Below are 21,142 nucleotides of genomic sequence, written 5' to 3'. Positions count from 1 at the left end.
TCAGACACCTGCAATCCCAGCACTTTGGGAGGCTGAGCCGGGTGGATCACAAGGTCAAGAGATCGAGACTATCCTAGCCAACATGGTGAAACCCGTCTCTACTAAAAATACAAAAATTAGCTGGGCATGGTGGCATGTGCCAGTAGTGTAGTCCCAGCTACTCGGGAGGCTGAGGCAGGAGAATTGCTTGAACCCAGGAGGTGGAGGTTGCAGTGAGCCAAGATTGCGCCACTGCACTCCAGCCTGGCAACAGAGTGAGACTCCATCTCAAAAAAAAAAGAACACCAAGAAAAATAATCAAGGCTTAGAGCTACCTGTGAACCACTGCATTCTCTTCTTTCTTTATTTTTTAAATGTTTCCTGACTCCTAGAACTGACACTGTGTTTTCTTCTTTCCAAAAATATAACTTTCCTTTTAAGACAACCGCTACAATAGGAGCTAAGATTCTTCCATCTGGAGTACTTTGAAGGAATAATAGTATCACCCACACCAATCAGTTCAGGCACTCTTATTCCATCAGGCACCAGCTATGGGCATCGCCCCCAATTCGGGCTGCTCTGGGATGATACATCTGTAGACATTTGGGTTGACACAAGGTCCTGTGTAGGCTCCTTGCTTGGACAGCAGGCATTGTGGAATGTGTTTTTCCCTCTATGTTCAAGCATCAAGTCTTTCTCCATTCAAGGCATCAGGCATGAAATTTATGAGCAGGTCTTTTTGCAAGTATGCAAATTAAATTCTGACCTCTGGCCATCTAATCTCGAGTGATGTATATTGAGAATGCTGCTTTATGGTGGCTCTGCATCAATATGAGACTCAAGTGCTGCCTACCAGAGAAAGGATTTAAGTTGGCTGTCTTTAGATTAACCTTCAGGTGCTTTTGGGGAGCAGGGGAAGAGAGGATGCTGACTGCTAAGGCTTACATCACGCAAACACTGAAGTTATACTACTACCTGGTCCCATATCAGGTGCAGGGTCTCCAGGCTAAAAGGAATTGCGGAAATCATCTAGTCACTCCACAGCCCCACTAGATGCACCAATTCTGTTTCCAACATTCTTGGTAAGTGATCAGCTACTCTCTGCTGGAATACCTTCAAAGACAGGGAGCTCATGAGGCTCAGTTGCTCAAAAATGGAAAAACTCTGTCATAATTAGGATTGAAATCTGCTTCCTATGACTTTTCTACCACTGGTCCCAGTTCTGCCCTCTGTGGCCACCCGGGCCACTGCTGCTTCATCCAGCCTGGGGGTAGGAGAGGGTGACTACCCTGTCCCCTTCTCCAAACTGCACAGCTCCAGCCCTCTGGCTGCTTCTTGCAGCCCCTTTTCATGCAACATCTAGCACTCTCAGAGTCAGCATACTGATGAATCAGTGCTGCTTGGGGTCAGCTAAGTCCCCAGGATCTTAAGAGGACATGTAACAGGAAGGTCTTAAAGATGAAAGCTCAGAAATCTTCAGCCATTGAGGGCTGTCTTTGAGCCTGATGTTCCTCCATTGTAGGTTTCCAAAAATGGCCCAGACCTCTCCCTGGGAGCTCCCTCCTAAAAATAAAAAGGAAACAAAACAGAAGCCAGGACAGTTAAGTCCCTTAAAGTGCAATGAATGGAGCTCATACTGTTTGCGAAGGCTGTGCTAGGAGGATCAAAGTGCTAGACCTGGCAGAGTCCCCAGGATTCATCTCATCCCCAAACTTTTCAAATGGGGAAACTGAAGCCAGAGGAGATGGGACTCACCTTAGGATACACAGATTAATGGTGTACTCTCAATCTTAAGTAATCTCCACCAATGGACCAACCCTGACCTTCTGAGAGACCCCAGAATACCGGCCTTGACGTCGGACCCTGCTTCATGACGTCATCGCCCCAACCAGATATGAGCCACTTTACCCCATGCCCTTGATACTGACGCAGCGACAAGCGGCCCTCATTGGAAGAGTGCAGCCGCTGGGGCGCTGCCGTGGGAGCTTGCTCGGAGGGGCACCGGCCGCTGGGCTCAGCTACACAGCTCTCGAAGGCCCTGTCGGAAGTGGCGCCGCAGCAGGCAGTAAAGCAGCGGATTGAGGCTGTTGTTGCAGTGCGTCAGGCAGATGGAGACCGGGAAGAGGTAGGCCTGAGCCAGGAAGTAAGCGCGGTCCAAGGGCATGGCGTTCAGTTTGATCAGCACCCCTCAGAGTGTGAACGCTTGGCTGGGCAGCCAGCAGAGCACGAAGGCCAGTAGCACGCAGGCCAGCGCACAGGTGACTCGGGAACGCAGTCGGCGCCTGACCCTCGACGGCCAGCGTGCGCACCACAGTCGCAGGAAGCGCAGCAGCAGCGAACAGGTGCCCAGCGTGGCCAGCGGCAGCACGAAGGCTACTGCGATCTTCTGCAGGTGGTAGAGCACCTGCCATTTGGGGCCGCCGGCGGGGAAGCGCAGCAGGCACGAGTGCTTTCCCCCCACCCTAGCTGCCGTGGCGAACAGGGCGGTGGGCGCCGTAGCCAGGACGGCCATAGCCCAGAGCAGGCAGCACACACAGCTGGCCCGTGATGCGCCCCGATGGCTCGGAGGCAGCGCGCCAGTCACAATGCAATAGCGTGCCACGCTCATGGCACTGAGGAGGAAGATGCTGGCATACATGTTGAGCACGGTGAGCGTCAGCATCACCTTGCAGATGGCACCCCCGAAGGGCCAGCTAAAGTCGCGCGCCGTGTCCACGGCCCAAAAGGGCAGCGTTAGCACAAACTGCAGGTCAGTGGCTGCCAGATTGAGGAGGAAGCAATTGAGCAGCCAGTGGCGGCGCCACTGCTGGGACCTCACCCGGACTAGCACCAGCCGTTGCCCACCAGGCCTACAGCGCACAGGGCCCAGTAGGCGCCCGCAATCAGAGCCCGCAGCGCCGGCGCCCGGACGGCCCCCGCCACCCCGTCCAGGCCATGCAGGCTGCGGGGACTCCGGGCCGGGCTAGTGTTCTCTGATCCGTTGCCCAGGGAGCTGTTAGGGAGCAGCCCCCGACGCCTCTTCCGGCCAGCTGAAGGGAAGCACGGCCCAGACAGCTCGGGCGATTCGACCCTGCCTCTGGCGGATGCCATCGCCGTTGATGGCGATGCAGGGATCCGCTCAGATCCACTCCAACACCGGCAGCCGCTGGGAGAGAACTAGGGGGTCTGCAGTGCCTCGCGGCAGCACCTTTAAAAAACTGGGGAACCACCTGCTAGCCTGCGATTGGCCAGCTGCACCCGTGGCCCACCCCAAAGGCCTCCGAGCTGTTATTTCCAGTAGCTGCTTCTTCACCCTTGAATTAGCGTTGAACTGGGGACCCTTTGCGGGTGAACTGAGACGCGGGGGCCGGAAGCCCGAACCGGAGGAAACAGCGTCTGCAATTCACCCAAGGTGTGGGTCCGCAGCTGCCGGTTCCCGCCCGAGGACGCAGCTCCAGCTTCCCAGTGCCTCCCAGAGGGACTCTGATACTCGGGGGGCGCTGAAGGGAGGTCATATAAATTCTTCCCGTGGAGGCAGTGCGCCCCTCCACCTCCCCTGTGGGCCCCGAGATAGCCAACTGAAGACCAAGGAGGGGTGCCCAAGTCCGACCAGTGGGGCCTGGCAGCCCCCTGCCCGCCAGCCCTGCTTCCTTGAACCCCTGCTCCTGATAAGGCATTTCTCCTCCCCTGCTTTAGCCATGGGTACCCTTCATTCCCACCTTCACTGTGGTCTGCTCTGCAAGTATCCCTGATCTTCTTCCCAAGGTCAGCCGCACTGCTTACAACTGGGCTGAAGACGGAGAAGCAACTAATCTAGGAGCAGTCAGAGGAAGAGACATGCAAACAGGGTTTAAAAGACCAGTGCTGGGCCAGGCCCAAAGGCTGATGCCTGTAATCCTAGCACTTTGGGGGGCCAAGGCTGCAGATCACCTGAGGTCAGGAATTTGAGACCAGCCTGGCCAACATGGTAAAACCCCGTCTCTACCTAAAATACAAAAATTAGCTGGGCATGGTGGTGTGCGCCTGTAATCCCAGCTACTTGGGAGGCTGAGGCAGGAGAATCGCTTGAATCTGGGAGGCGGAGGTTGCAGTGAGCCGAGATGGCAGGCCTTTCCACTCCAGCCTGGGTGACAGAGCAAGACTCCATCTCAAGAAAAAAAAAAAGTCCAGTGTTGGGAGACTAAGACTGGGCCAGCACTCATGCTCAGCATGCACAGAGGAGGGGCCTAAAGCCTGGGGAATCCTGAAAGACTTCTTGGAGGAGGTGATTTTTGAGCTGATCCCAATCCTGCCTTGGCTTCCAATTCCAGTGACTTCCTCCTACAGTTAGAATAAAATCCAGATTTCCTGCTTTGGACTACAAGGCCTCATGACAGAGGCACCCACTACAGCTTTTTTTTTTTTTTTTGACACAGAGTCTTGCTCTGTTGCCCAGGCTGGAGTGCAGTGGCATGATCTCGGCTCACTGCAACCTCCGCCTCCTGGGTTCAAGTGATCCTTCTGCCTCAGCCTCCCGAGTAGCTGGGACTACAGGCGTGCGTCACCACACCCAGCTAATTTTTGTTTTTAGGAGAGATGGGGTTTCATTTTGTTGGCCAGACTGGTCTTGAATTCCTGACCTCAGCTGATCCACCCACTTCGGCCTCCCAAAGTGCTGGGTTTACAGGTGTGAGGCACCGTGCCCAGCCAGCCCTGGTATTTTTAAAAGTGCCTAGGCAATCCCACTGTATGCCAGGGTTGACAAGTCCTCTGTCTGTGGTCTCTCTGCCCACCTCCTAGACCTTGTCACCTACCACTCCGAGCCTTGCTCACTTCACTCCAGACACACAGGCCCTTCCCCAAATACACCACTCTGGCCTGCCTCAGGCCTTTGTCTTTGCTGTTCCCTCTGCCAAGAATGCCCTTCACCCAGATTACCATGTGGCTGCTCCTTCTCAGCACTCTGGCCTCAGCCCAAATATCACTTCCTAAGAAAAGACTTCCCTCTGCCACCACTCTGTTTACTTCCAAAAGCATTCATTGCATGCCCATTATGTGCCAACCACCTTGCTAAGCACGCAGGATGCAGCCTGCAGTGTGTCTTCTACTGGGGGATAAAGACAAACAAATAAATGAGATGAACTCATGGGGGAAAGAGTGACAATGAAACAAAGCAGGGTAACAAGACAGAGACTGAAGGGCAGGGCAGGAGACTCAAGGAAGGGGTATGAGTTTAGGGATGGGAGGGTTCCCAGGGGAGGAGGAGACCATGGTCCCCTTTATACCACTTACCAGGTATGTGTCTTGGGGATAACCAGTTTTTATTTTTCATATTTTATTTTATTTTTGAGATGGAGTCTTGCTCTGTCACCCAGGATGGAGTGCAGTGGCGGGATCTCAGCTCATTGCAATCTCTGCCTCCCAGGTTCAAGCAATTCTCATGCCTCAGCCTCCCAAGTAGCTGGGATTACACGTGCCTGCTACCACGCCTGGCTAATTTTTGTATTTTTTAGTAGAGTCAGGGTTTTGCCATGTTGTCCAGGCTAGTCTTGAACTCCTGACCTCAGGTGATCCACCCATCTCGGCCTCCCAAAGTGCTGGGATTACAGGTGTGAGCCATCACCTCCGGCCGGGGGTTAACTAATTAATCTTGCCTATCTGTAAAAGAAGATGCTGATAACCCCTCATCAGGGTCATAGGAGAATTAACCAGCCTCCAGAGAGAAAGCCTTCAGCTCTGTGCCTGGTGCGGAACTCTTCTTCTTGTGATTATTATTGAGAGGCTAGAGTGACCTCCCGTTTTGCTGAAGGCCCTCTCTGGACCTTCTCTGCCAACTTTAGTCTGGAGCTCCCACTGTATGTCAACCCTGGCATACTGTGCACTTACCTTTTCCTTCTTTCCTACCTCCATCAAGAACACAGGCACAGGCCGGGCTCACGCCTGTAATCCTAGCACTTTGGGAGGCCGAGGCGGGTGGATCATGAGGTCAGGAGATCGAGACCATCCTGGCTAACATGGTGAAACCCCGTCTCTACTAAAAAATACAAAAAATTAGCCGGGCATGGTGGCGGGCGCCTGTAGTCCCAGCTACTTGGGAGGCTGAGGCAGGAGAATGGCGTGAACCTGGGAGGCAGAGCTTGCAGTGAGCAAAGATCACGCCATTGCACTCCAGCCTGGGTGACAGAGTGAGACTCTGTCTCAAAAAAAAAAAAAAAAAGAACACAGGCACAACATGCCACCAGGAGCTGGGAGGTAGTCCCTAGAGGGCAGATCTCCCTCATGTCTCCTGCCCTCAATCAATCACCACCACCAGAGGCTCCCCATCACTCCCAGGCCTCTGCCTTGCTTGCCCAGGAGACAGGGAATCTGCAGTTAAGTGACATTCTCTCCCCAGCGGTTAGGAAAGGGGAGATTAACCTACTTACCAAGACATAGACTAGGCCAGAGCCTGGATGAACTGGGAATCTGATCGAAAGTTTGCAAAATTAGATCATGCTTTCCCAGGGTTTCCTTCCAGCAGGGCCTGATGCCTGGGACTTTTTCTTCCTTGAATGGAAGTTGTCACTGAATGTCAAGTGGCCTGGGTTCTAGTCTCTGTGCCCTAACACTCTGTGTAAAATGAAGTAACTGTCCCATTCTGGTCTGTTTTCTCATTTGTAAAATGAGACACCTTCTAATTCTAAGAGTGTTTTTAGAGACAAGGTCTTACTGTGTCACCCAGGCTGGAGTGCAATGGCCTGATCATAGCTCACTGCAGCTTCTTTGCATTGGCTGGGCATTTACTATGTGCCAGGCCCAGTGCCAGGCATTTTATAAGGATCATCTCATCTGGTCCCCATGACTGCTCTGTGAGACAAGGAATGTGATCCTGACTTACACAGGAGGAAGCAGGCTCAGAGAGGGGACTTGCCCAAAGGCCCACCCAGCAGGTGAACAGAAGCCTCCCTCTGAAGAGCCTGTCCAGTTTTCCCTGAGGTGCTCTGCTGACAACACTCCTAAAATCTGCACACCAGGGGAGTCTCCCAAGAGAAACAGTTATTGGTGAGAGAGGGTCACAATTTGGGGATACATTTCCTTTTCTTATTTATTTATTTATGAGACAGAGTCTTGCTCTGTTGCCCAGGCTGGAGTGCAGTGGCTCCAACTTGGCTCACTACAACTTCCACCTCCCAGGTTCAAGCAATTCCCCTGCCTCAGCCTCCTGATTAGCTGGGGCTACAGGTGTGTGCCACCATACCTGGCTAATTTTTGTATTTTTAGTAGAGATAGGACTTCACCATATTGGCCAGGCTGATCTCGAACTCCTGACCTCAAGTGATCTGCCCACCTCGGTCTCCCAAAGTGCTGGGATTACAGGTGTGAGCCACTGCGCCTGGCTGGATGCATTTATTTTTCTTTTAAAAAAGTATCTTTATGGTCAGGCACAGTGGCTCACACCTGTAATTTTAGCACCTTGGGAAGCTAAGGCAAGAGGAACACCTGAGCTCAGGAGTTCAAGACCAGCCTGGGCAACATAGTGAGACCCTTTCTCTACCAAAAAAAAAAAAAATTAGCTGGGTGTGGTGGTATGTGCCTGTGGTCCTAGCTACTCAGGAGGCTGAGGTAGGAGGATCACTTGAGTCCAAGAGTTGGAGGCTGCAGTGAGCCATGCTTGTGCTACTGCACTCCAGCTCGGGCAACAGAGGGAAACCCTGTTTCAAAAAAAAAATCCCTTTATGGCCAGGTGCACTGGCTTACCCCTGTAATCCCAACATTTGGGAGGCTGAGGTGGGAGGATCACTTGAGCAGAGGAGGTTGAGGCTGCAGTGGGCCATGTTCATGCCACTGCACTCCAGCCTGGGTGACAGAGCAAGACCCTGTCTCGAAAAAAAAAAAAAAAAACCCTAAAACACAAAACTCTTTATATTATTACTGCAATGAAAATATAGCATTTCCACATGTAGTTTTATACAAATTATGTGGCCAGTGTTGATTTTTCCCTTGAGAAAACTTCCCACCATGAGATTATAGGTGACTGTGTCAAGTTTTGGTGTCTTGCTGCATAATCCCTCTGATTCCCCATTCCCATCTCCACAATAGGCCACTCGGCCCCTTGCTTTGCTGCACTGGGAAGATCACAGAAATATCAGGCCAGTATTCCCGGAGTCCCTGGAGAGCCCAGAGGAAGTGGGGAGGTCCGGAAGCAACAGACAGTAGGTCAAGGCCATGGCAGGGAGACAGGCCTGGCTCAGGGGCCTTCCCCTCCTCCCACTGCATGAGTGCGTGTGTGCGTGTGTGTGTGTGTGTGTGTGTGTGTGTGTGTGTTTGATGGGCTAGGGCAGAGTGGGCTGGTTTTCAGCTTGTATTTCTGTAATACAACTTGACTCTTTTAAACCATGAACATGTATTACTTGGATGTAAAGCAAATTAAATAGCAAAAGCACAAAAACCTTCGCAAATTTGATAGGTGGTAAATGCTCCACGGTTGCTTGGATTTGCATTCCTTTAATTTCTGGCAAGGCTGTACATTTCTCAAATGTTTCTGCACCATCTGTATTTTCTCTACACTTTTGGCATTTCCCTCCAGGGAATAGGGTAATGGCTGTGGGGCCTGGCACCTGGAGGCAGACAGATCTACCTACAAGTCCTGGCTCTGCCAGTTACTGGCAAGGGACTTAATCTCCATTTTTTCTTGTCTGTACATTGGAGATAAAGGTTGGGTTTCCCTTATTCAAAATGCTTGGGATCAGAAGTGTTTTAGATTTTGGATTTTTTTGGATTTTGGAATATTTGCATATGTATAATGCAAATCTTGGGGATGGAGTCTACGTGTAAACATGGAATGCATTTATATTTTATATACGCCTTATACACATAGCGTGAAGGTAATTTTATACATTGTTTTATTTTATTTATTTATTTTTTTCTTTTGAGATGGAGTTTCCCTCTGTCGCCCAGGCTGGAGTACAGTGGTATGATCTCGGCACATTGCAACCTCCGCCTCCTGGGTTCAAGCAATTCTCCTGCCTCAGCCTCCTGAGTAGCTGGGACTATAGATGGGCACCACCATGCCTGGCTAATTTTTGTATTTTTAGTAGAGACAGGGTTTCACTATGTTGGCCAGGCTGGTCTCGAACTCCTGACCTCAGGTAATCCGCCCGCCTCGGCCTCCCAAAGTGCTGGGATTACAGGCGTGACCCACCATGCCCAGTCTATACATTATTTTAAATAATTTTGTGCATGCACACATCCATTCCCAGACCTCTCGAAATCTGTCCTGGGCTCCCTCATCCCACCTCCATCCAGAGTTGCCTAAGTTGTAGGTCCAGCAGAGGCAGGATTGCTTGGTGGTGAGAAGGTTAGGTCTGGCTCAGATCAAATAAGAAGAGATAAAATTTGCCTTAAAACTTGCCTGGCAATGGCTTTGCTGCACGGTCTGAAAACACCCGTTCCCGCCCTCTCGACTGAAATTTCCTTGTGACACAGAGAAGGACAAAGGTCTGAGCCCAGAGTTGACGGAGGGAGTATTTCAGGATTCAATTCTGGGACTCCTAAAACGACGAGGGTGTTAGGAAGCGAGGCACAGGGTGGGGACTGGGAATTTAAGGAGAGCTGGGAACAGATCCCTTAGGTTCAGGAAGCTTCTGCGCAAGCAGTGAGGATGGCTGGGGCTAGGGGGCTACTCCGCCTGCCACACTAGCTGTGAGTTGAGCAAAGCCCTGGGCTCATGGTGCCCCAAAAGCCTGCGGCCTCAATCCTAGGCCTGCACGACACATTCAAAAGGATTGTTTTGTTTTGTTTTTAAAGAAAGATGAGATTGGCTTGGTTCTTCATGGGCACATTTTATATAGCTCTTTTTCTTTTCCTTGCTCATTTTGTTTCGGGGAAGAAATTTGTACTGTATTGAGATTGTGAAGAACATCTCTGCACTCAAACAGTTTACAGAAATAAATATTTTTAAAATAATTTTGTGCATGAAACCAAGTCTAGGTACATTAAACCATTAGAAAGCAAAGGTGTCGGGTATGGAATTTTCACCTGTGGCATGAGGTCAGTGCTCAAAAGGAGCATTTCAGATTTTGGATTTTTGGATTAGGGATGCTCAACCTGTAGTAAGTTTACCTCATAGGGTTGCTCAACTTTTAACTAGAAAATTAACATAATGCAACATGGTGAAACCCTGTCTCTACCAAAAATTAAAAAATTAGCCAGTCTCATAACTTGGTATCAAAAAAAATAAGTAAATAAAAATTGAAAAATAAAATAATGTTTTTAAATGCTGTATTTTGTTTTATTTTATTTTGAGACAGGCTCTTGCTTTGTCACCCAGGCTGGAGTGTAGTGGCCCGATCTTGGCTCACTGCAACCTCTGCCTCTCAGGCTCAAACTATCTCCACTTGCCTCTCCCTGACACCCTGGCTCATTTTTGTATTTTTTGAAGTGATGGAATTTTGCCATGTTGCCAAGGTTGGTCTCAAACTCCTGAGCTCAAGCGATACACCCGCCTTGGCCTTCCAAAGTGCTAGGACTATAGGCGTGAGCCACCGTGCCTGGCCTGTATTCTATTAATTTTCCTTCCTCCCTTCAGAAGGACATAGTATATCTGTTGTTTGTTTGTTTGTATGTATGTATGTTTGTTTTTTGAGACAGCATCACACTCTGTCACATAGGCTGGAGTGCAGTAGCACAATCACAGCTCACTGTAACCTCCAGCTCCCAGGTTCAAGTGATCCTCCTGCCTCAGCCTCTCAAGTAGTTGGGACTACAGGCATGCACCACTACGCCTGGCTAATTTTTGATTTTGTGTAGAGACAGGGTCTCGCTCTGTTGCCCAGGCTGGTCTTGAACTCCTGGTCTCAAGCAATCCTCTGGCCTCAGCCTCCCAAAGTGCTGGGATTACAGGAATGAGCCACCACACCCAGCCAGATGCTGTATTTCTTTTCTTTTTCATTTTTTTTTTTTTTTGAGATGGAGTCTCACTTTGTCACCTAGGCTGGAGTGCAGTGGCATGATCTCAGCTCACTGCATCCTCTGCCTCCCGAGTTCAAGTGATTTTTCTGCCTCAGCCTCTCAAGTATCTGGGACTACAGGTGCGTGCCACCACACCAGGCTAATTTTTGTATTTTCAGTAGAGATGGGTTTCACCATATTGGCCAGGCTGGTCTCGAACTCCTGACCTCATGATCCGCCTGCCTCAGCCTCCCAAGGTGTTGGGATTACAGGTGTGGGCCACCGTGCCTGGCCCAGATGCTTTATTTCTAACAAACTCCTAGGTGATGCTCTGCTGTTGGTCCAAAGGGCCACATTTAATGTAGGGAAGGAAACGATACTGTACTAGTAGCAATGGGCTAGCATGGCTGGGCATTAGTCTCTGTGTTTTACTGGGAGATTGGTGGTGTTGTAGTGAGTTAGGTTGGCAGAGGTTGCTAAGGAACTTCCACTGTGACTCACACTAGTTTACAAAGTACTTTCACATATATCATCTCATTTGGGGCATTATTTTAATGTCATAGGGTGTTACTGTAATCATTATTATATCATGAGTCGTTATTTTAATCCCCTGCCCTTTTCTTTTGAGTTGGGGTCTAGCTCTTATGCCCAGGCTGTAGTGAAGTGCTGTGATCATAGCTCACTGCAGCCTCGAACTCCTGGGCTCAAGTGATCCTCCTGCCTTGGCCTCTCAAAGTGCTGGGATTACAGGCATGAGCCACTGGACCCAGCCACCAGCTCTTTTTTTATAGTAAGGATTTAAGACTCAGAAGGATTGGTTGGGTGCAGTGGCTCACACCTGTAATCCCAGCACTTTGGGAGGCTAAGGCAGGTGGATTACTTGAGGCCAGGGGTTTGAGACCAACCTGGCCAACACAGTGAAACCCTGTCTCTACTAAAAATACAAAAATTAGCCGGGTATGGTGGTGCAAGCTTGTAATCCCAGCTACTAGGGGGTCTGAGGCAGGAGAATCGCTTGAACCTGGGAGGTGGAGGTTGCAATAAGCCGAGATCACGCCACTGCACTCCAGCCTGGGCAACAGAGCAAGACCCTGTCTGAAAAACAAAAACAAAAAAAAGGCCGGTCACAGTGCTCATGCCTGTAATCCCAGCACCTTGGGAGGCTGAGGCAGGTGGATCACGAGGTCAGGATATCGAGACCATCCTGGCCAACATGGTGAAACCCCGTCTCTACTAAAAATACAAAAATTAGCTGGGTGTTGTGGCAAGCGCCTGTAGTCCCAGCTACTCAGGAGGCTGAGGCAAGAGAATTGCTTGAACCCAGGAGGCGGAGGTTGCAGTGAGCTGAGATTGCGCCATTGCACTCCAGCCTGGTGACAGAGTGAGACTCCATCTCAAAAACAAACAAACAAAAAACACATAGCAGAGCTGGGACTTGAACCCAACTACATTTAACTCCAGAGCCTGCCACCCATTCCATCATTATGTGCAGCTCACCTTAAGAACATCCAGATCCTGAATCTAGCCTGGAGGGAGGCAGCTGAGCTGAGCCAGGCCTGTGGGTCTTGTCTCTACCACGAGGTGTTACAATTGGTCATTCAGATGGTTTGCAATTAAGCCTTTGTGGGTTCCTGTTCATAGAGCCAATAATCTCTATTTCTTTGGGTTTTGTTCCTTTCTTGTGAAGCCTCCCTCCTAGGTCTCTGCCTTCCTGTTTCTGTCTGGACTGGTGTCTCTTCTGGCCTACTCACCAGCTGTGATCCCAGAATCTACCTTTACTATTATTCTGCGGGCTCCCATCACCTTATGTTTGTGTTGGATCTGTTCCTTAGGTCCTCAGCCTTTCTCTTTCTTGACTTACTTCTTCATTTTGGTGGAGCACAACCTCTAGTAACTTTTGGAAAAAGGGTGCATGGAAGGCAAATATTTTGAACCCGGTGTGGTGGCTCACGCCTGTACTTCCAGCACTTTGGGAGGCTGAGACAGGCAGATCACCTGAGGTCAGGAGTTTAAGACCAGCCTGGCCAACATGGCAAAAACCTGCCTCTACTAAAAATACAAAAATTAGCCAGTCGTGGTGGCAGGCGCCTGTAGTCCCAGCTACTCGGGAGGCTGAGGTAGGAGAATTGCTTGAACCTGGGAGGTGAAGGTTGCACTGAACTGAGATCACACCACTGCACTCCAGCCTGGATGACACCACTGCACTCCAGCCTGGGTGACAGAGCAAGACTCTGACTCAAAAAAAAAAAAAAAAAAGTTTGAGCTTGTATGTCTTAAAGTGTTCTTATTCCACCTTCTTACACTTGATCAAGACTCTGGGAGTTGAATCCTATGTTGGAAACCATTCTCCCTAGAATTTTGAAGGCATTGCTCTGTTTACCTCTAATCTGTAGCATTGCTGGAGGAGAATTCTGTTTGCACTCCAATTACAGAGTCTTTGGGACTATTTTTCTTCCTTCTCTGGAAAATCTGGAAACAATTTTCTCTAATATCCAAGAGTTACGGTACGCCAAGATATCATGTCTTGGTGTGGGTCTTTTTGTGTGTGTGCTGGAAGCCAGTAAAACCATTTAGAAATTCATGTGCTTCAGTTCTGAGAAAATTCTTGTATTATTTATTTGATAGTCTTCCCTCTGTTTCCTCTGATCTTGCTAGGTCTCCTATTTTTTGGATGTTGGATTTATGAAGTTTTAAGATATGGACAAGTTTTTACTTTTCATGCAGGCACATCTATAAACTGTTTTCCTACAGATTTTGCTGTTGATTTCATCTTTAAAATATTCTTCCCAACCCCAAAATTATATAACCAACTTCACTTTTTATGTTGGCAATAGCAGTTTCAAAATAAGGCTCATGCTGTTTTTCTTGTCTAAGCTGTACGGCAGGCAGCAGAAATGAGTGAGTATTTGTTAGATAAATAAAAGAGTGAAATGACTTATTGATTTAAAAAAAGAAAGAAGATCCATGTAATTCATTTTATCTAGCATCTTATTGTCAGCAGGGATTCTGATTTTTATTTTTTATTTTTTAAATTTATTATTTATTATATATTTTTGAGACAGAGTCTCACTTGTCACCCAGGCTGGAGTGCAATGGTGCGATCTTGGCTCACTGCAACCTCAGCCTTCTGGGTTCAAGCGATTCTCCTGCCTCAGCCTCCTGAGTAGCTGGAATTACAGGTGCCCGCCACCACACCCGGCTAATTTTTGTATTTTTAGTAGAGACGGAATTTCACCATGTTGGCCAGGTTGGTCTCAAACTCCTGACCTCCAGTGATCCACCCGCCTTGGCCTCCCAAAGTGTTGGGATTACATGTATAAGCCACCATGCCCAGCCGGGATTCTAATTTTTAAATGTGAAAACAAATATTTTCTTTACAAAAGTTAGTAAAATGCATGAAAAAATAAAAGATAAATAATGAGCAGAAAGAGCTCCTAAATATTCAGTAAACACAATAGAAAAGCATTAAAAGTTTTCAAATTATTTCCAGACACAAAAATATGGAACATCCATTGCTGAAACAATGGTGTGAACAAAGAAGAAAAATACAATTTTAAAAAGAAGAAGAGGCCACGCATGGTTGCTCACACCTGTAATCCCAGCACTTTGGGAGGCTGAGGCGGGTGGATCACTTGAGGTCAAGAGTTCGAGACCAACCTGGACAACATGGTGAAACCCCGTCTCTACTAAAAATACAAAAATTAACCAGGCATGGTGGCGGGCACCTGTAATCCCAGCTACTCAAGAGGCTGAGGCAGGAGAATCGCTTGAACCTGGGAGGCAGATGTTGCAGTGAGCCGAGATCATGCCACTGCACTCCAGCCTGGGTGATACAGCGAGACTCAGTCTAAAAAAAAAAAAAAAAAAAAAGAAGAAGAAAACAGCCAAGCCAATAAGTAAGCTATAGCATCAAGGTGGTAAAGAAACCCAAAGATGGTTGGGTTTGTGCCAGGACAAGGGTCAGGTAGGGTGCACTGGCTCACACTTCCAGTGCTGGTTAGACTCTCAGACAGCAGTTTTCTGAGATCCTACTAAGCACCAGCCCATCAGACATGGCCCATACCCTCTTGGTGTTGATGAGCTAGAAGTGAAGAAGATAAGATTTGACTGCAGGAAAGAACGTGATAGCTATCATTAAGGGTCCCTTTGGAAATCATCATGGCTCTTGGCAATTAGCACTTAGTAGGTGTTCATCAATGAGTCTCTGGTGAAGGGGATGTGGCAGCCTCCCATATATCGAGCTGTCTGACCGACTTAGAAACAACTCTAAAAGGAGGAGTCCTGAAGAAACAGATCCTTTAATGATAGAAGCCGAAATTGGTAATTTGGAGAGGCAGTGATATGGAGCGATTAGAAATCCAGGCACTGGAATTAGGCCAGTCCTGGCCCCGACACTTCCAAATGTGGGACGTTGGGCAAGTTACTTAACCTTTCCATGCCCCAGTTTCTTCATCCATAAAATGAGGAAAATAATATCTGCTTCATGTTGGAAAGATTACATGAGACATTGTGTGTAAGGCACAGTGACAGAAGATAGGATAGAGCATTCCTTCACTATCTCAACTTGCCTCCATCAAATCATCATTCTCACTGCCCAAGTGGCGGCTCAAAGGCAGTAGAAGCCAATCATGAGCCTTTTTCCCATCAGCTAACTGATGGCTCTGAAATCTCAATGTGGATAATTTTCATGACTCTTCCTGTGGCATTTCTCCCCTACAGTGTGGGGGCAGGACACACTCTGAAGCTGCAGAGGCAGCTGTGGCCATGGCTTTCGCAGGTGAAGGCCGCAGTGCTCTAGAGAATGGGGATAGATTGAAAACATCCATGTCTCCAGGGCTTCCAGAACAATGACTAATCAGGCCCACAGTGGCAGCTCAGCATCCCTTTCCAAGTCAATCATCCCATACATTTTCAAGGCCAGCTCATACTCCGCCCAGTTCTGTCTTATGAGGGAGCTTTTTTGAGCATCCTTGTTTAGAAATCTGCAACCTAAACTGGCATTTTCGATCATTTTGCAATCCTTGCAATTTACTGGGGTGGAAGGGACCCACCAAAAATAATGTCTTTAATTTGGCAATACCTGTCTATCAAAGTTACAAATACACACATTTCTGACAGCAATCTCAGTTCAAGGACTTCATCCTAAAGATGTACTCACATGGGTGCATCATGGACATGGCCAGAAAGAGATTGGAAACAATCTAAATATCCTTCAGTAGGAGATGAGGATAATGGCATATGCACATAATGGAATATCAATCATGTAACATTTATTTAAATATTGAAAATAGCTATTGAACACATAGTATACGCCAGCCACTGTTCGAAGTACTTAGGACACATTAGAGAGCAAAATAAAGATTCTCTGCCCTCATAGATCTCATATTGTGGCTTATGTGCCACAAGCTCCACAACCAAGGATATGAAACCATCTCCAAGTTTATATACTTTTGTATGTATGTGTGTGTGTGTGTGTGTGTGTGTGTGTGTATATATATATATATATTTTTTTTTTTTTTTTTGAGACGGAGTCTCGCTCTGTCACCCAGGCTGGAGTGCAGTGGCGCGATCTCGGCTCACTGCAAGCTCTGCCTCCCGGGTTCACGCCATTCTCCTGCCTCAGCTTCCTGAGTAGCTGGGACTACAGGCACCCGCCACCATGCCCAGCTACTTTTTGTATTTTTAATAGAGACGGGGTTTCACCATATTAGCCAGGATGGTCTCGATCTCTTGACCTCATGATCCGCCCACCTCGGCCTCCCAAAGTGCTGGGATTACAGGCGTGAGCCACCGCGCCTGGCCTATGTATATATATTTTTTAGACAGGGTGCTCTGTTGCCTGCTCTGTTGCCCAGGCTGGAGTACAGTGGCATGATCATAGCTCACCACAGCCTCTCTGGCTAATTTTTTATTTTTTGTAGTCTCACTGTGTGGCCCAGGCTTGTCTTGAAGTCCTGGGCTTGAGCAATCCTCCCACCTTACCCTCTCAAAGTGGTGGGATTACAGGTATGAACCAGGGCACCCAGCCTCCAAGTTATAGTGTTAATTTTTTTTTAAAAGCCAGGTAAAGATAGAGAGGATATATGCTAGCATGTGTGTAAAATATATCTTTGTGTTTGCAATGCATTTTTCTGGAAGGATTCATGATAAACTGAAACAAGTAATGGCCCCTGGGAAGGAGCACTGAGGGACCAGGGGTCAGGTTTGGAAGGGAATAATTACTTTTCAATGTTTGTAAAGTTTACATTTTTAATTCTGTGCTGTCTTACCGCAAAATACAAAATAAAACATAAAGGCTTTTACTTTTGCCAAATGCCTCAAACCCTTTCTTTACTCCTCTAGAGCAGGTTTCTCAGCCTTGGTACTATTGACACTTGGGGCTGAAGAATTCTTTGTTGCAGGGGGTTGTCATTTAGCCACATCCCTGGCCTCTACCCATTAGATGCCAGTAGCACCTTCTCCCTGGTTGTGACAACCAAAAATGTCTCCAAACATTGCAAATTCCATGGAGGCAGAATCACCCCCGCTTGAGAACCACTGTTCTAGATAACACATGAAATAGGGGTGTAGGGTCACTGTCTCCACTAGACAGATAAGAAAGTTGAGGCCCAAAGAGGTTTTATTTTGTTTTTAAGAATTGTGTGCCTTGGCCAGGTGCCGTGGCTTATGCCTGTAATCCTAGCACTTTGGGAGACTGAGGAGGGCAGATCGCTTAAGCCCAGAAGTTTGAGACCAGCCTGGACAACAGAACGAAACCTCATCTCTACAAAAAATACAAAAATTAGTTGGGCATGAGGCACACGCCTGTAGTCCCAGCTACTCGAGAGGCTGAGGTGGGAGGATCACCTGAGCCTGGGGAGTTTGCGACTGCAGTCAGGCAGTCAGCCCTGAGCACGCCACTGCACTCCAGCCTTGGTGACAGAGCAAGACTCTGTCTCAAAAAGAAAAAAAAAATTGTGTGCCTCATTTTCTTTGTTATTTATTCATTTATAATTTTAAATGGACACTGTTTTGCTATACTTTCCTACTTTTTATTTATTAGTATTTATTTATTATTTTGAGACAGGGTCTCACTCTGTTCCCCAGGCTGGAGTGCAGTGGCACAATCACGGCTTACTACAGCCTCAACCTCCTAGGCTCAAGCATTCCTCTCACCTCAGCCTCCCGATTAGTTGGGACTACAGGTGTGTGCCACAACACCCAGCTAATTTTTTGTAGAGACAAGGTTTTGCCATGTTGCTCAGGCTGGTCTCCAACTCCTGGGCTCAAGCAATCCTCCTGCCTCAACCTCCCAAAAGCCACCACATACAGCCCTTTCCAACTTTTTAAGCAATCTATCAATATATAAATGGATATATGAAAGCAGAATAAATATAGTTTCTTTTTAAATTTTGATCAGTTTCTGGTAATGTTTTAGCTATGTTAAAGCTTACTGGAGATGTTGGGTCATATAGCATGATAATCATTTAAACAATAAATGAAATAATTTATATCAAGATACAGGGGGGAAGCTCACTAACTGGATACTTGACACTCTGAACAATGACATAAAATATGTGTTGAAATATCAAATCTCTTGCTTTGTTCAAAATGTACACTTTGGGGTAGGCATGGTGGCTCACGCCTATAATCCCAGAACTTTGAGAGGCCAAGGTGGGCGGATCACCTGAGGTCAGGAGTTTGAGGCCAGCCTGGCCAATATGGTGAAACCTTGTCTCTACTAAAAATACAAAAATTAGCTGGGTGAGGTGGCGAATGCCTGTAGTCCCAACTACTTGGGAGACCGAGGCAGGAGAATTGCTTGAACCCAGGAGGCAGAGGCTGTAGTGAGCCAAGATCGTGCCACTACACTCCAGCCTGGGCAACAGAGCGAGACTCCATCTCAAACAACAACAACAACAATAAAACCGAAAAACACAAAAACAAAATGTACACTTCACTCCCCGAAATTTGGAGTTGGCTGTTCCTGTTTTTCCAGTTGAATTATTTTTGCATCATGAGGGCATGACTAAGGCTTATCATTTTTTGTATCCTTTTTTTGTATCCTATGGTTTCCGAGAAGCTTTAAAATGAAGGCACCCAGCAGGGTGTGGATGGAGTAAAGACCAGGACCTGGGACAGAGGAGGAAGCAGGCAGGGACTGTCATCAGACGTGGGATTTGAAAACACAAACTCCAAGGCTGCATTTCAAAAAAGCCTCCAATCTACTGTTGGGCCTTGGCAGCATGGAGGCAGTTTGTGGTGTTGGCCAGGGAGGGCTGTGTGTCCCCTCCCCAGATCCTCCTGATCTCTAGGTTTTGCTGTGCTGGTGGCAGGGATCACAAAGACCAAGACATGACCTTAGCATCTCACGGTGTGTCGGGGTTGACAGACCCATAACCAGACAATAGCAGTCTAGTGAGCTGTCAACGGGGATGGCAAAGGGTGCTCTGGGGAACCTAAGAGGTCAGGGGGGACGTGCTGGAAGGGGTGACGTACAGCCTAGGTCTGAAAGGACAAGTCTCAGGGACATCAAGTTTATGCCCATCTTTTATTTATTTTTTATTTTTTGAGACTGAGTCTCGCTCTGTCGCTGGCTGGAGTGCAGTGGCAGGATCTCGGCTCAGAGCAAACTCTGCCTCCCAGGTTCAAGCAATTATCCTGCCTCAGCCTCCTGAGTAGCTGGGATTACAGGCATCTGTCCGCCACAACGCCCAGCTAATTTTTTTTGTATTTTTATTAGAGGAGGGGGTTTCACCATGTTGGCCAGGTTGGTCTCGAACTCCTGACCTCAAGTGATCCGCCATCCTCGGCCTCCCAAAGTGCTGGGATTACAGGTGTGAGCCACTGCGCCTGACCAGTGTCCAGCTTTTTAAGATTTATTTTTATTTCTAGAGACAGGGTCTCTCATTCTCTCGCCTAGGCTGGAGTGCAGTGGTGCAATCAGAGCTCACTGCAGCCTCGATCTCCTGGGTTCAAAGGATCCTCCCTCCACATTCTCCTGAGCAGGTAGGACAACAGGCATGCATCCCATGCCTGGCTCACATCTTCTCCCTTTCACCTTCACATGACTGGCTCCTTTTTGTCATTCTGGTATCACAGCTTAAATGTCACCTTTTTAGGAAGGCCTTCCCTGACCACCCCATGGAAAGTAGACTCTAGTCACTTCCGGTTTTATTTTCTTCAAAGCACCTCTCTGTAGCTGGTCTTGTTTATATGGTGGTCTGAATTGTTTATCCATCTGTCTATTTGCTTGCTGTCCATGGCCTCCTCCAGAGTGGGAGCTCCAGGGAACAGAGACCTTATCCACCTGTTCACAGCTGTGTCCCCAGTGCCCTGGGTCTGCAGTGCATACTTGATCTTATGGAGTGAAGAAGAGATGTGCCAGGTGATGAGGGCAGAGTGGAGGTATGTGAACAGGGAGGGTATCTCTAGAATGCACTGTGCAGGTCAAGGTGGAGAAGGAATTTGGCTTTGACACCAAGATGGGGGGACAAGAGGCTTAGCCTGAGGTACAAATGGGAAAAGGGGGAATCTAGACAACCTTGAGGGAGAAGTTTGACTAAGACAGGGAGCAGATATGTGGGGTGGGAATTAGAGGGGACACCCAGTCCATGGAGGGGTATTATCAGTACTTTTTTTGTTTTTTTTGAGACAGGGCCTCACTTTGTTGCACAGGCCGGAATGCAGTGGCGTGATCTTGGCTACTGCTCATTGGTGGGGCCAGGCCTGGCCCAGCCTCAATCTCCTGGACTCAAGTGATCCTCCCACCTCAGCCCCCCAAATAGCTGGGATCACAGGCATATGCCACCATGCTGGGCTAATTTTTAATTTTTTTGTAGAGACGGTGTTTCACTATGTTGCCCAGGCTGGTCCCAAACTCGGGGCTCAAGTGACCCTCCCACCTCAGCCTCCCAAAGTGTTGAGATTATAGGTGTGAGGCACCTTGCCTGCTTTTTGTTTGTTTGTTTGTTTTTCCCTAGAGACAGTGTCTCAGTATGTCTCCCAGACTGGCCTGGAACTTCTGGGTTCAAGTAATCCTCCCTCCTCAGCCTCCTGAGTATCACTGGGACTACAGGCCTGTGCCACTATACCCAGCTATTATCAGTATCTTTAATAGGAGGAAGACAAGAATGTTTTTAGACTGACGGTCACCAACCCAAGGAGACCAAGGAAAGCGGGGGACACCTGGAGCAGGACCTTTGAGGAGACAGGAGGGGAGGGAGCCACAGAGCCCTGGTGGAAGCATTGTCTCTGACTGCTGGAGGGCACCTGTTTCACTGTGTCCAGATGGAGG

General features: G+C 48.2%; 1 pseudogene, besides 4 other annotated features; it reads right to left on the bottom strand.

Moving 5' to 3' along the window:
- On the bottom strand, positions 2,003-2,992 carry LOC390614 (relaxin family peptide receptor 3 pseudogene; annotated as a pseudogene).
- Positions 2,087-2,634: an enhancer, noted in NCBI's record as "H3K27ac-H3K4me1 hESC enhancer chr15:79123741-79124288 (GRCh37/hg19 assembly coordinates)". NCBI's record gives its function as "activates a minimal SCP1, AML or CMV promoter by ChIP-STARR-seq in naive H9 embryonic stem cells {active_cell/tissue: H9 hESC(naive)}" and the evidence as "EXISTENCE:reporter gene assay evidence [ECO:0000049][PMID:30033119]".
- Positions 2,822-3,041: a silencer, noted in NCBI's record as "silent region_6716". NCBI's record gives its function as "represses an Ori minimal core promoter by ATAC-STARR-seq in GM12878 lymphoblastoid cells {active_cell/tissue: GM12878}" and the evidence as "EXISTENCE:reporter gene assay evidence [ECO:0000049][PMID:35858748]".
- Positions 7,256-7,425: an enhancer, noted in NCBI's record as "experimental_41025 CRE fragment used in MPRA reporter constructs". NCBI's record gives its function as "activates a minimal promoter by MPRAs in K562 erythroleukemia cells, with activity observed for both the introgressed and non-introgressed 15:79119035 variant alleles {active_cell/tissue: K562}" and the evidence as "EXISTENCE:reporter gene assay evidence [ECO:0000049][PMID:34662402]".
- Positions 9,259-9,428: an enhancer, noted in NCBI's record as "experimental_41019 CRE fragment used in MPRA reporter constructs". NCBI's record gives its function as "activates a minimal promoter by MPRAs in K562 erythroleukemia cells, with activity observed for both the introgressed and non-introgressed 15:79117032 variant alleles {active_cell/tissue: K562}" and the evidence as "EXISTENCE:reporter gene assay evidence [ECO:0000049][PMID:34662402]".

Source organism: Homo sapiens, chromosome 15 (genome assembly GCF_000001405.40).
Source record: "Homo sapiens chromosome 15, GRCh38.p14 Primary Assembly".
NCBI lineage: Eukaryota > Metazoa > Chordata > Mammalia > Primates > Hominidae > Homo > Homo sapiens.
Note: the sequence above shows the minus strand (reverse complement) of the source record. Positions and strands in the feature narration are given on the sequence as shown.